Genomic DNA, 14,656 nt, shown 5'->3' with positions numbered 1-14,656 from the left:
CTATGGTGGGAGGATCACTTGAGCTCAGGAAATTGAGGCTGCAGTGAGCCACGATCATGACACTGCACTCCAGCCTGGATGACACAGAGAGACCCTGTCCCAAAAAAACTAAAAATCAAAACACAGTGAGACTGGATCTGAAATGTTACATTACCTGAAAATAGAGTAAAATTGGAATACTGGAGAACTAACTGATCAATTTTCTTCTTGGAAAAGTTGATATTGCCTTAAAATTCTCAACTCTTTTATGTTTATATTAAACAACATTAAATGCATATCAGCCTTGGATTAGATATGTATCTTCAAATCTATAAGCATCAATTTGCCCAACCTACATGTCAGGACTAGATGAAAACAGGCATGGCATAAGCCAAATGGTTAGAAAAAGCAATACACAGCTCTTCATGCAAGGACAATAGTCTTGAACAGAAGGAAGCAAACCAGAGCACAATTCTCCAGGTGCTGAGAAACTCTGCTATCTTTAAAGAAGCCCCAAGACTATTAACAGGGAGCTGTCTCTCATTGTTTAGATCATTATTTTTTATGCCAAACTGTCGTAATAGTTGACATTTTGTTCTGCACCCAATAGGTGGGTTTGGTAGCTTGGCAGACATCAACCCAATGACCACAGTCAAGAAGGATTTAGCAAGGGAATGTTAATACTTGTAACAACTAAGGTGAACACGGGGGCTGGTTCCCAAAACAGGGTCTCCCCAGCTGGGGGCTGGATCAAGCTATAAAAACTGTATTAGGATTCTCTAGAGGGACAGAACTGATAGGATAGATATGTATATAAAGGGAAGTTTATTAAGTAGTATTAACTCACACAATCACAAAGTCCCACAATAGGCCATCTGCAAGCTGACGAGCAAAGAAGCCAGTCAAGTCTCAAAAAGCTGAAGAACTTGGAGTCAGATGTTCAAGGGCAGGCAGCATCCAGCAAGGGAGAAAGATGTAGGCTGGGAGGCTAAGCCAGTCTAGCCTTTTCACATTTTTCTGCCTGCTTTATATTCTAGCTGCACTGGCGGCTGATTAGATGGTGCCCATCCGGATTAAGGGTGGGTCTGCCTTTCCCAGCCCACTGACTCAAATGTTAATCTCCTTTGGCAATATCATCACAGACACACCTAGGATCAATACTTTGCATCCTTCAATCCAATCAAGTTGACACTCAGTATTAACCATCACATAAGCATAGGCTAATGAGGTGTGATCTGATTGGATCTTGCAACGAAGTGATGCCAGAACTCAATCTGATTGACTCCTAAATCCTGCCCTAGGGTCTCTGTTTCTTAATTCAGACCCTGCTCCTGCGTCCCAGAACTTAGATTCCCCCTGTGGTTGCAGGTGTGGTTAATCTGAGCATGCTCAGATTATGTGACCAGAGGGTCCATGGCACACAAAAACAACTTACAATTCTGTTATATAAGATTGGACCAGATTGGTCTCATGCAGCTATAATTTAAATACTTACCATGTCTCAAACACTGTTTTAAGCACTTTATTTATATTACAGATGAGGAAACAGACACAGACATTACTTGACATGTTGAAGACCATGCAGCTAGTAAATGACAGCCAGGATTTGAACTCAAACTTGAATTCAGAGCTCATGCCTTGAAGCCTGTTGCTGTATTGCCTCCTACCACACATAAAGAGGCTCCAGTCAGCTAGGCTGGTTCACGCCTTGTATGGCCTGGGGTTTCATCGTGTTGCTTCCCTGGGAGGGAAACCCCTGACAAACAAATCAAGCTGCCTGTTATGTTAGGGAAGACAGAAGGCAGCAAGAAGCCTTGAAGTGTTAATATCTTTGTTTACTTTGTCTTGATTAGCTTTTCATGCACCCTCAAAACCTTTTGTGAAGAAATAAACTAAACTTTGGGAACAGCTTGCTGGGCAATGTCTTGAGGGCTCAAGGGATACTCAGTGATTCAGCATAAAGTTGGCAGTCAAGAAATGCTTGCATAAATGACTGACAATTGGTGAATCAGTCAATTCAATAGAATGTCTACTTAACTATGGATTTAGTGACCTCCTTATCTTATTCATCATATGCACATATCTTCCCTTGTTACACTTCAGTTGTTTTATTATTTACTGCATTTGCCACACTTTTCTTCCTTCATGGCCTTGCTTATGTTGTTAGCTCTGCCTAGAAATCCCTACTTTTTCAAAGCTGCAAGTTTAAATCCTACTTAAGTCCTACTACATTTAGGTCTAACTCAAGCATTGCTTATCTTTACTAAAGTAATTTATCCCACCTCTGATATTGTACATCATCGTCACTATACACTGCAACTGGTTTTGTATATGCCTTATTGCGTAACGTAAGTTGCTTAAGGGAAGTGTCATTCCTGTTTTATTTTTCTTGTCTTTCTTTGTGTTTTATGCAGTATAGAGTGGCATCCAAAAAAAAGATAGTACTGGGTTTGAGTGGTGAGTATTTATAAATGAACCTTGTATTCCATGTATTATACTACTTATCAACTTTTGATTTATAATTCATCTTTTATCAACATAATATCTCAATAATTAGCCATCTGCTTGGAGTACTTTGAAATGTTTTCTTACATTTTCTCCTGTGATCATAATTGTATGTGCTTTTATGGGAATTAATAGCTGCAGTGAAGAAATCACTATAAAATTTATTAGAAATGAGAAGAATTTTATCTTGGTATCCTAGAAAAATTGAGATTATTAGTGAGCAAAATAAGTACATATCAAATTTACATTAAGTGTGGTTTTTTTTAAAGAAAAATTAAGCATTTAATGTAAGAGTTCAAACCCATATTTGTTGTGTTTCTTTTATCAGAAAGAAGACCCAATCAGAGTTGCAATGTAGACCTTGGAAATTTCTGAATTTAGTTACTAGTGTATGGATATCATATGTAAAGGAATTAGAAAAGAAATTATTCTGATTATTCAAAGAAATTCTACATGAAAATAATGGCTATTATACTTAAATATACATTTTAAAGAAGATTATATCACCTCACTATTCTGTTATACTTTGTAACTATTCTACATATATTTACATTTGAGAATGCAATTGAACTCTATGCAGCATTTTATTTTCTGTCAACATTGTTGTCATGTGATTATTTTCTATTTTAAAATGGCATTTAAAACAGAAATATATGTGTATGTATGTAACATTACAATGGTTATAAATACATAAACCCACATTGTCCTGTGTCAGAGCACATTGCATTTAAAGAATAGCTCAACCAGTCCAACAGTATTCATTCGTTACTTTTTTTTTTTTTTTTTTTTTTTTGAGATGGAGTCTCCCTCTGTCACCCAGGCTGGAGTGCAGTGGCGCCATCTCGGCTTACTGCAAGCTCCGCCTCCCGGGTTCACGCCATTCTCCTGCCTCAGCCTCCTGAGTAGCTGGGACTACAGGCACCCACCACCACGCCTGGCTAATTGTTTTGTATTTTTTTAGTAGAGACGGGGTTTCACCGTGTTAGCCAGGATGGTCTCAATCTCCTGACCTCGTGATCCGCCCACCTTGGTCTCCCAAAGTGCTGGGATTACAGGTGTGAGCCACCGCACCCAGCCCATTCGTTACTTTTAACTCTCTTTCAATCCCTTATGTGAGTCAATAGAATTTTTTTTTTTTTTTTTTTTTTTTTTTTTGAGATGGAGTCTCGCTCTGTCGCCCAGGCTGGAGTGCAGTGGCGGGATCTCGGCTCGCTGCAAGCTCCGCCTCCCGGGTTCACGCCATTCTCCTGCCTCAGCCTCCCAAGTGGCTGGGACTACAGGCGCCCGCCACTACGCCCGGCTAATTTTTTGTATTTTTAGTAGAGACGGGGTTTCACCGTTTTAGCCGGGATGGTCTCGATCTCCTGACCTCGTGATCCGCCCGCCTCGGCCTCCCAAAGTGCTGGGATTACAGGCGTGAGCCACCGCGCCTGGCCGATTTTTTTGTAATTATTATACTTTAAGTACTGGGATACATGTGCAGAACGTGCAGGTTTGTTACATAGGTATACATGTGCCATGGTGGTTTGCTGCACCCATCAACCCATCATCTACATTAGGTATTTCTCCTAATGCTGTCCTTCCTCCAGCCTTCCACCCAACGACAGGCACTGGTGTGGGATGTTCCCCTCCCTGTGTCCATGTGTTTTCATTGTTCACCTCTCACTTATGAGTGAGAACATGTGGTGTTTGGTTTTCTGTTCCTGTGTTAGTTTGCTGAGAATGATGGTTTCCAGCTTCATCCATGTCCCTCCAAAGGACATGAACTCATGCTTTTTTATGGCTGCATAGTATTCCATGGTGTATATGTGCAACAGTTTCTTTATCCAGTCTGTCACTGATGGGCATTTGGGTTGGTTCCAAGTCTTTGATATTGTGAATTGTGCTGCAATAAACATGTGTGCATGTGTCTTTATAGTAGAATGACTTATAATACTTTTGGTATATACTCAGTAATTGGATTGCTGGGTCAGATGGTATTTGTGGTTCTAGATCCTTGAGGAATCACCACATTGTCTTCCATGATGTTTGAACTAATTTACACTCCCACTAACAGTGTAAAACCATTCCTATTTCTCCACAACCTCTCTAGCATCTGTTGTTTCCTGACGTTTTAATGATTGCCATTCTAACTGGTGTGAGACGGTACCTCATTGTGGTTTTGATTTGCATTTCTCTAATGACCAGTGATGATGATGAGCTTTTCTTCATATGTTTGTTGGCCACATAAATGTCTTCTTTTGAGAAGTGTCTGTTCATATCCTTCGTTCACTTTTTGATGGGATTGTTTTTTTCTTGTAAATTTGTTTAAGTTTCTTGTAGATTCTGGATATTAGCCCTTTGTCAGATGCATAGATTGCAAAAATTTTCTTCCATTCTGTATGCTGCCTGTTCACTCTGATGATAGTTTCTTTTGCTGTGCAGAAGCTCTTTAGTTTAATTAGATCCCATTTGTCAATTTTGGCTATTGTTGCAACTGCTTTTGGTGTTTTAGTCATGAAGTCTTTGCCCATGCCTATGTCCTGAATGGTACTGCCTAGGTTTCTTCTAGGGATTTTATGGTTTTAGGTTTTACATTGCAGTCTTTAATCCATCTTGAGTTAATTTTTGTATAAGGTGTAAGAAAGGGGTCCAGTTTCAGTTTTCTGCATATGGCCAGTTTTCCCAACACCGTTTATTAAATAGGGAATCCTTTCCCCATTTCTTGTTTTTGTCGGGTTTGTCAAAATCAGATGATTGTAGATGTTTGGTGTTATTTCTGAGGCCTCTATTCTGTTCCATTGGTCTATATATCTGTTTTGGTACCAGTACCATGCTGTTTTGGTTACTGTAGCCTTGTAGTATAGTTTGAAGTCAGGTAGCATGATGCCTCTAGCTTTGTTCTTTTTCCTTGCAGTGTCTTGGCTATGCGGGCTCTGTTTTGGTTCCATGTGAAATTTAAAGTAGTTTTTTCTAATTATGTTAAGAAAGTCAATGGTAGCATGATGGGAAGAGCATTAAATTTATAAGTTACTTTGGTCAGTATGGCCATTTTCACGATATTGATTCTTCCTATCCATTAGCATGGAATGTTTTTCCATTTGTTTGTGTCCTCTCTTATTTCCCCGAGCAGTGGTTTGTAGTTCTCCTTGAAGAGGTCCTTCACATCCCTTGTAAGTTGGATTCCTAGGTATTTTACTCTCTTTGTAGTAATTGCGAATGGGAGTTCACTCATGATTTGGCTCTCTTTTTGTCTATTATTGGTGTATAGAAATCCTTGTGATTTTTGCACATTGATTTTGTATCCTGAGACTTTGCTGAAGTTGCTTATCAGCTTAAGGAGTTTTAGGGCTGAGACAATGGGGTTTTGGGCTGAGACTAAATATACAATCATGTCATCTGCAAGCAGAGAAAATTTGATTTCCTCTCTTCCTATTTGAATATCCTTTACTTCTTTCTTTGCCTGATTGCCCTGGCCAGAACTTCCAATACTATGTTGAATAGGAGTGGTGAGAGAGGACATCCTTGTCTTGTGCCAGTTTTCAAAGGGAATGCTTCCAGCTTTTGCCCATTCAGTATGATATTGGCTGTGGGTTTGTCATGAATAGCTTTTATTATTTTAAGATATGTTCCACCAATACCTAGTTTATTGAGTGTTTTTAGCATGCAGGGCTGTTGAATTTTATCGAAGGCTTTTTCTGCATCTATTTAGATAATCCTGTGGGTTTTTTTTTGTCATTGGTTCTCTTTATGTGATGGATTACATTTATTGATTTGTGTATGTTGTATGTTTTGTATGTTGAACCAGCCTTGCATCCCAGGGCTGAAGCTGACTTGATCGTGGTGGATAAGCTTTTTGATGTGCTGGTGGATTCAGTTTGCCAGTATTTCATTGAGGATTGTCACATCGATGTTCATCAGGGATATTGGCCTGAAATTTTCTTTTTTTGTTGTGTCTCTGCCAGGTTTTGGTATCAGGATGCTGGCCTCATAAAATGAGTTAGGGAGGAGTCCCTCTTTTTCAGTTGTTTGGAATAGTTTCAGAAGGAATGGTACCAGCTCCTCTTTGTACCACTAGTAGAATTCGGCTATGAATCAGTCTGATCCTGGACTTTTTTTTGGTTGGTAGGCTATTAATTACTGCCTCAATTTCAGAACTTGTTATTGGTCTATTCAGGGATTTGACTTCTTCCTGGTTTAGTCTTTGGAGAGTGTACATGTCCAGGAATTTATTAATTTCTTCTAGATTTTCTAGTTTATTTGCATAGAGGTGTTTATAGTATTCTTTGATGGTAGTTTGTGTTTCTGTGGGATCAGTGGTGATATCCCCTTTATCATTTTTTATTGTGTCTATTTGATTCTCCTCTCTTTTCTTCTTTGTAAGTCTGGCTAGTAGTCTTTCCATTTTGTTAATCTTTTCAAAAAACCAGCTCCTGGATTCATCGATTTTTTTGAAGGGTTTTTTGTGTCTCTATCTCCTTCAGTTTTGCTCTGATCTTAGTGATTTCTTGCTTTCTGCTACTTTTTGCATTTGTTTGCTGTTGCTTCTCCAGTTCTTTTAATTGTGATGTTAGGGTATTGATTTTAGATCTTTCCCGCCTTCTTCTGTGGGTATTTAGTGCTATAAATTTTCATCTAAACACTGGTTTAGCTGTGTCCCAGATATTCTGGTACATTGTGTCTTTGTTCTCATTGGTTTCAAAGAACTTATTTATTTTGTCTTAATTTGTTGTTTACATAGTAGTCATTCAGGAGCAGGTTGTTCAGTTTCCATATAGTTGTGCAGTTTTTAGTGGGTTTCTTAATCCTGAGTTCTAATTTGATTGCACTGTGGTCTGAGAGACTGTTTGTTAAGATTTCTGTACTTTTATATTTGCTGAGGAGTGTTTTACTTCCAATTATGTAGTCAATTTTAGAATAAGTGCTATGTGGTGCTGAGAAGAAGGTATATTCTGCTGATTTGGGGTGGAGAGTTCTGTAGATGTCTATTAGGTCTGCTTTGTCCAAAGCTGAGTTCAAGTTCTGAATATCCTTGTTAATTTTCTGTCTCATCTCATTGATCTGTCCAAAATTGACAGTGGGGTGTTAGTTTCCTGCTATTATTGTGTGGGAGTCTAAGTCTCTTTGTAGGTCTCTAAGAACTTGTTTTATGAATCTGGGTCCTCCTGTATTGGATGGATATATATTTAGAATAGCTCTTTTTGTTGCATTGATTCCTTTACCATTATGTAATGCCCTTCTTTGTCTTTTTTGATTGTTGTTGGTTTGAAGTCTGTTTTATGAGAGACTAGGATTGCAACTGTTCCTTTTTTTTTTTTTTTTGCGTTCCATTTTCTTGGTAAATATTCCTCCATCCCTTTTATTTTGAGCCTATGTGTGTCTTTGCAAGTGAGATGGGTCTTTTGAAAACAGCACACCGATGGGTCTTGACTTTTCATCCAATTTGTCAGCCTTTGTCTTTTACTTGGGGCATTTAGCCCATTTATATTTAGGGTTAATATTGTTATGTTTGAATTTGATTCTGTCATTATGATGCTAGCTGGTTATTTTGCCTGTTAGTTGATGCAGTTTCTTCATAGTCTCAAACGTCTTTACATTTTTGTATGTTTTTGCAGTGGCTGATACCAATTTTTTCTTTCCATATTTAGTGTTTCCTTCAGGAGCTCTTGCAAGACAGGCCTGGTGGTGACAAATTCCCTCAGCATTTGCTTGTCTGTAAAGGATTTTATTTTTCTTTCACTTGTGGAGCTTAGTTTGGCTGGATATGAAATTATGGATTGAAAATTCTTTTCCTTAATAATATTGAATATTGGCACCCACTCTTCTGGCTTGTAGGGTTTCTGCTGAGACATCTGCTATTAGTCTGATGGGCTTCCCTTTGTGGGTAACTTGACCTTTCTCTGCCTGCCCTTAACACTTTTTCCTTCATTTCAACTTTGGTGAAGCCGACGACTATGTGTTTTGGGATGGCTCTTCTCGAGGAGTATCTTTGTGGTGTGTTCTCTGTATTTCCTGAATTTGAATGTTGGCCTGTTTTGCTAGATTGGGGAAGTTCTCCTGGATAATATTTTACAGTTTGTTTTCTAACTTGGTTCCATTCTCATTGTCACTTTCAGATACACCAACCAAATGTAGGTTTGGTCTTTTCACATAGTCCCATATTTCTTGGCAGCTTGTTCATTCCTTTTCTCTTTTTTCCTTTTTCTTTTTCTTCTTTTTTTTTTTTTTTTTTTTATGAGATGGAGTCTTGCACTGTCACCTGGGCTGGAGTGCAGTGGCGTGATCTCAGCTCTCTGCAACCTCCACTTCCTGGGTTCAAGGGATTTTCCTGCTTCAGCCTCCCGAGTAGCTGGGATCACAGGCACCTGCCACCACACCCAGCTAATTTTATTTTTGTTTTTATTTTTAGTAGAGATGGGGTTTCACCATGTTGGCCAGGCTGGTCTTGAAATCCTGACCTTGTGATTCGCCCACCTCAGCCTCCCAAAGTGCTAGGATTACTCATGTAAGCCACTGAGCCTGGCCTTTTTTTTCTCTAATCTTGTCTTCATGCTTTATTTCATTAAGTTGATCTTCAATCTCTGATATCTTTTCTTCCGCTTGATTGAATCAGCTATTGATACCTGTATATGTTTCACAAAGTTCTCATGTTGTGTTTATCACCTCCATTGGGTCATTTATATTCTTCTCTAAACTGGTTATTCTAGTTAGCAGTTCCTGTAACCTTTTATCAAGGTTCTTAGCTTCCTTGCATTGGGATAGAACATGCTCCTTTAGCTCAGAGGTGTTTGTTATTACCCACCTTCTGAAGCCTACTTCTGTCAATTCGTCAAACTCATTCTCCATCTGGTTTTGTTCCCTTGTTGGTGAGGATTTGTGATCCTTTGGAGGAGAAGAGGCATTCTGGTTTTTGGAATTTTCAGCATTTTTGCACTGCTCTTTCTTCATCTTCATGGATTTATCTACCTTTGGTCTTTGAAGTTGGTGAGCTTTAGATGGGGTTTTTGCATGGGCATACTTTTTGTTGATGCTGATGTTATTGTTTTCTTTTTGTTAGTTTTCATTCTAACAGTCAGGCCCCTCTGCTACAGGTCTGTTGGAATTTTCTGGAGGTCCACTCCAGACTGTATTTGCCTGGGTATCACCAGTGAAGTCTGCAGAACAGCAAAGATTGCTGCCTGCTCCTTCCTCTGGAAGCTTCATCCCAGAGGGGCACCTGCCAGATGCCAGCTGGAGCTCTCCTGTATGAGGTGTCTGTCAACCCCTGCTGGGACCCACTTGAGGAGGCAGTCTGTCCCTTAGCAGAGCTCGAGCTCCATGCTGGGAGATCTGCTGCTCTCTTCAAAGCTGGCAGGCAGGAATGTTTAAGTCTGCTGAAGCTGTACCCATGGCCTCCCGTTCCCCCAGGTGCTCTGTTCTAGGGAGATGGGAGTTTTATCTATAAGCCCCTGACTGAGGCTGCTGCCTTTCTTTCAGAGATGCCCTGCCCGGAAAGAAAGAATCTGGAGAGGTAGTCTGTCTACAGTGGCTTTGCAGAGCTGTGGTGGGCTCCACCCAGTCCAAACTTCCCAGTGGCTTTGTTTACACTGTGAGGGGGAAACTGCCTACTCAAGCCTCAGTAATGGCAGACGCCCCTCCCCCAACCAAGCTGGAGCATCCCAGGTTAACTTCAGACTGCTGTGCTGGCAGCAAGAATTTCAAGCCAGTGGATCTTAGCTTGCTGGGCTCCATGGGGGTGGGATCTGCTGAGCTAGACCCCTTGGCTCCCTGGCTTCAGCCCCATTTCCAGGGGAGGGAATGGTTCTGTCTCACTGGCATTCCAGGAGCTACTGGGTACAAAAAAAAAAAAAAAAAAAAAAAACCTCCTGCAGCTAGCTAGGTGTCTGCTCAAATGGCCACCCAGTTTTGTGCTTGAAACCCAGGGCCCTGGTGATATAGGCACCCAGGGGAATCTCCTTGTCTGCCGGTTGTGAAGACCATTGGAAAAGCATAGTATCTGGGCTGGATAGCACCATCTCTTATGGCACAGACCCTCATGGCTTCCCTGAGGGGAGGGAGTTCCCTGACCCCTTGAGCTTCCTGAGTGAGGCGACACCCCACCCTGCTTCTGCTCACCCTCCATGGGCTGCACCCACTGTCTAACCAGTCCCAATGAGATGATCCAGGTACCTCAGTTGGAAATGCAGAAATCACCCACTTTCTGCATTGATCTCACTGGGAGCTGCAGACTGGAGCTGTTCCTATTCAGTCATCTTGCCAGCCACCCCTGAGTCAATAGATTTTTAAAAATTCTAATTTATTCAGATGTCTGAAATTCCTGGGAACTACTCACTCTCCTTCACCTACAGATGCTGCACCCACTGTCTAACCAGTCCCAATGAGATGATCCAGGTACCTCAGTTGGAAATGCAGAAATCACCCACTTTCTGCATTGATCTCACTGGGAGCTGCAGACTGGAGCTGTTCCTATTCAGTCATCTTGCCAGCCACCCCTGAGTCAATAGATTTTTAAAAATTCTAATTTATTCAGATGTCTGAAATTCCTGGGAACTACTCACTCTCCTTCACCTACAGAGCTCAATTTCTCCTTCTTACCATTCTGATCTCTCAAGTTTTCTCTGTGCTGCCTTTTGCTATAGAACACCTTTCAATTGGTCCTACTCAACACCCCTAACACACACACACACACACACACACACACACATACACACGTGCAGCTGCATGCACACACCATTCCCACCATGAACAGGTCCTGGACAGCCCTGTTCTCCAGCTCTGACTTCCTCTGTAGTGAGAATTGGCCTGCACAAACTTTTATCCTTTGTCTTTTCTTCCATGGGGTATTGGATTTGGAGGAAGAAGAAAGAGGTCTATGAACACTCATATTATTAATTTTTTCCTATTATTTATCCCAACTGAAAAACAGTAATATTAAATGCCCTTTATTACACCATGTATTAAGCTCATATCAACAGGGTCTGTCAGTAGTACTCATTTTTTCCTGCTAGATGTCAGAAATACATTATTTGTTAAAGTGTTGGTGAACTATTTTTTAAAACAAACATTTTTTTAGAAAGGTTCTAGTATTTAGAAATATTGAGAAAATAGTACAGAGAATTCCTATATCTCCTACACTCAGTTTCCCTTATTATCATCTTACATCAGTATGACACATTATAATTAACAAATCAATACTAATACATTTTTATTAATGTTTATGTTTTACATAAATTTCCTTAGTAAAGTAAACAATGTTTTTTTGTTTATGTGTTTTTTCCTTTTTGTTTCAGGATTCCATTCAGGATACTTCATTATATGTAGAGTTGACCCTGGAACAACATAAAGGTTAGGGATGCCAATCACCTGTGTGGTCAAAAATCTGAGTATAATTTTTACTCCCCCAAACCTTAATTACAAAGAGCCTACAGTTAACCTGAAGCTCTACCAATAACATGAACAGTTGATTAATACATATTTTGTGTATGTGTTATTTACTGTATTCTTAGGGTAAAATAAACTAGAAAAAAAGGAAATGTTATTAATAAAATCATAAGGAAGAGAAAATATATTCACTATTCAATAAGTGGAAGTGGATCATCGTGGATCATCTTTTTTTTATTATTATACTTTAAGTTCTAGGGTACATGTGCACAACATGCAGGTTTGTTACATATGTATACATGTGCCATGTTGGTTTGCTGCACTCAATAACTCATCATTTACATTAGATATTTCTCCTAATGCAATCCCTCCCCCATCCTGCCACCCCACGACAGGCCCCAGTGTGTGATGCTCCCCACTCTGTGTCCAAGTGTTCCCATTGTTCAATTCCCACCTATGAGTGAGAACATGCAGTGTTTGGTTTTCTGTCCTTGTGATAGTTTGCTCAAAATGATGGTTTCCAGCTTCATCCACATCCCTACAAAGGACATGAACTCATCTTTTTTATGGCTGCATAGTATTCCAAGGTATATATGTGCCACATTTTCTTAATCCAGTCTATCATTGATGGACATTTGGGTTTGTTCCAAGTCTTTGCTATTGTGAGTAGTGCCACAATAAACATACGTGTGCATGTGTCTTTATAGTAGCATGATTTATAATCCTTTGGATGTATACCCAGTAATGGGATCGCTGGGTCAAATGGTATTTCTAGTTCTAGATCCTTGAGGAATCGCCGCACTGTCTTCCACAATGGTTGAACTAGTTTACACTCCCACCAACAGTGTGAAAGCATTCCTGTTTCTCCACATCCTCTCTAGCACCCGTTGTTTCCTGACTTTTTAATGATCATCATTCTAATTAGTGTAGGATGGTATCTCATTGTGCTTTTGGTTTGCATTTCTCTGATGGCCAGTGATGATGAGCATTTTTTCATGTGTCTGTTGGCTGCATAAATGTCTTCTTTTGAAAAGTATCTGTTCATATCCTTTGCCACTTTTTGATGTTTGATTTTTTTCTTGTAAATTTGTTTAAGTTCTTTGTAGATTCTGGATATTAGCCCTTTGTCAGATGGGTAGATTGCAAAAATTTTCTCCCATTTGGTAGGTTGCCTGTTCACTCTGATGATAGTTTCTTTTGCTGTGCAGAAGCTCTTTAGTTTAATTAGATCCCATCTGCCTATTTTGGCTTTTGTTGCCATTGCTTTTGGTATTTTAGTCAGGAAGTCCTTGCCCATGCCTATGTCCTGAATGGTATTGCCTAGGTTTTCTTCTAGGGTTTTTATGGTTTTAGGTCTAACATTTAAGTATTTAATCCATCTTGAATTAATTTTTGTATAAGGTGTAAAGAAGGGATCCAATTTCAGCTTTCTACATATGGCTAGCCAGTTTTCCCAGAACCATTTATTAAATAGGGAATCCTTTCCCCATTTCTTGTTTTTGTCAGGTTTGTCAAAGATCACATGGTTGTAGATGTGTGGTGTTATTTCTGAGGCCTCTGTTCTGTTCCACTGGTCTCTGTTTTGGTACCAGTACCATGCTGTTTTGGTTACTGTAGCCTTATAGTATAGTTTGAAGTCTGGTAACGTGATGCCTCCAGCTTTGTCCTTTTTACTTAGGATTGTCTTGGCAATGCAGGTTCTTTTTTGATTCCATATGAATTTTAAAGTAGTTTTTTCCAATTCTGTGAAGAAAGTCATAGGTATCTTGATGGGGATGGCATTGAATCTATAAATTATCTTGGGCAGTATGAGCATTTTCACGATATTGATTCTTCCTATCCATGAGCATGGAATGTTCTTCCATTTATTTGTGTCCTCTTTTATTGTGTTGAGCAGTGGTTTGTAGTTCTCCCTGAAGAGGTCCTTCACATCCCTTGTAAGCTGGATTCCTCGGTATTTTACTCTCTTTGTAGCAATTATGAATGGGAGTTCACTCATGATTTGGCTCTCTGTTATTGGTGAATAGGAAGGCTTGTGACTTATGCACATTGATTTTGTATCCTGAGACTTTGCTGAAGTTTCCTATCAGCTTAAGGAGATTTGGGGCTGAGACAGTGGGGTTTTCTAAATATACAATCATGTCATCTGCAAACAGGGACAATTTGACTTCTTCTTTTCCTGATTGAATACTCTTTATTTCTTTCTCTTGACTGACTGCCCTGGCCAGAACTTCCTATTATGTTGAATAGGAGTGGTGAGAGAGGGCATCCCTGTCTTGTGCCAGTTTTCAAAGGGAATGCTTCCAGTTTTTGTCCATTCAGTAAGATATTGGCTGTGGGTTTGTCATAAATAGCTCTTATTATTTTGAGATATGTTCCATCAATGCCTAGTTTATTGAGAGTTTTTAGCAGGAAGGGTTGTTGAATTTTGTTGAAGGCCTTTTCTACATCTATTGAGATAATCATGTGGTTTTTGTCTTTGGTTCTGTTTATGTGATGGATTACATTTATTGATTTGCATATGTTGAACCAGCCTTGCATCCCAGGGATGAAGCCAACTTGATCGTGGTGGACAAGCTTTTTTATGTGCTGCTGGATTCAGTTTGCCAGTATTTTATTGAGGATTTTTGCATCAATGTTCATCAGGGATATTGGTCTAAAATTCTCTTTTTTTGTTGTGTCTCTGCCAGGCTTTGGTATCAGGATGATGCTGGCCTCATAAAATGAATTAGGGAGGATTCCTTCTTTTTCTATTGATTGGAATGGTTTCAGAAGGAATGGTACCAGCTCCTCTTTGTACCTCCGGTAGAAT

At 39.8% G+C, this 14,656-nt stretch overlaps 1 annotated feature.

Moving 5' to 3' along the window:
* Nucleotides 1,654–2,328: an enhancer, noted in NCBI's record as "OCT4-NANOG-H3K27ac hESC enhancer chr13:80540344-80541018 (GRCh37/hg19 assembly coordinates)". NCBI's record gives its function as "activates a minimal SCP1, AML or CMV promoter by ChIP-STARR-seq in naive H9 embryonic stem cells {active_cell/tissue: H9 hESC(naive)}" and the evidence as "EXISTENCE:reporter gene assay evidence [ECO:0000049][PMID:30033119]".

The sequence above is a fragment of the Homo sapiens genome, chromosome 13 (genome assembly GCF_000001405.40).
Source record: "Homo sapiens chromosome 13, GRCh38.p14 Primary Assembly".
NCBI classification, from domain to species: domain Eukaryota; kingdom Metazoa; phylum Chordata; class Mammalia; order Primates; family Hominidae; genus Homo; species Homo sapiens.
Note: the sequence above shows the minus strand (reverse complement) of the source record. Positions and strands in the feature narration are given on the sequence as shown.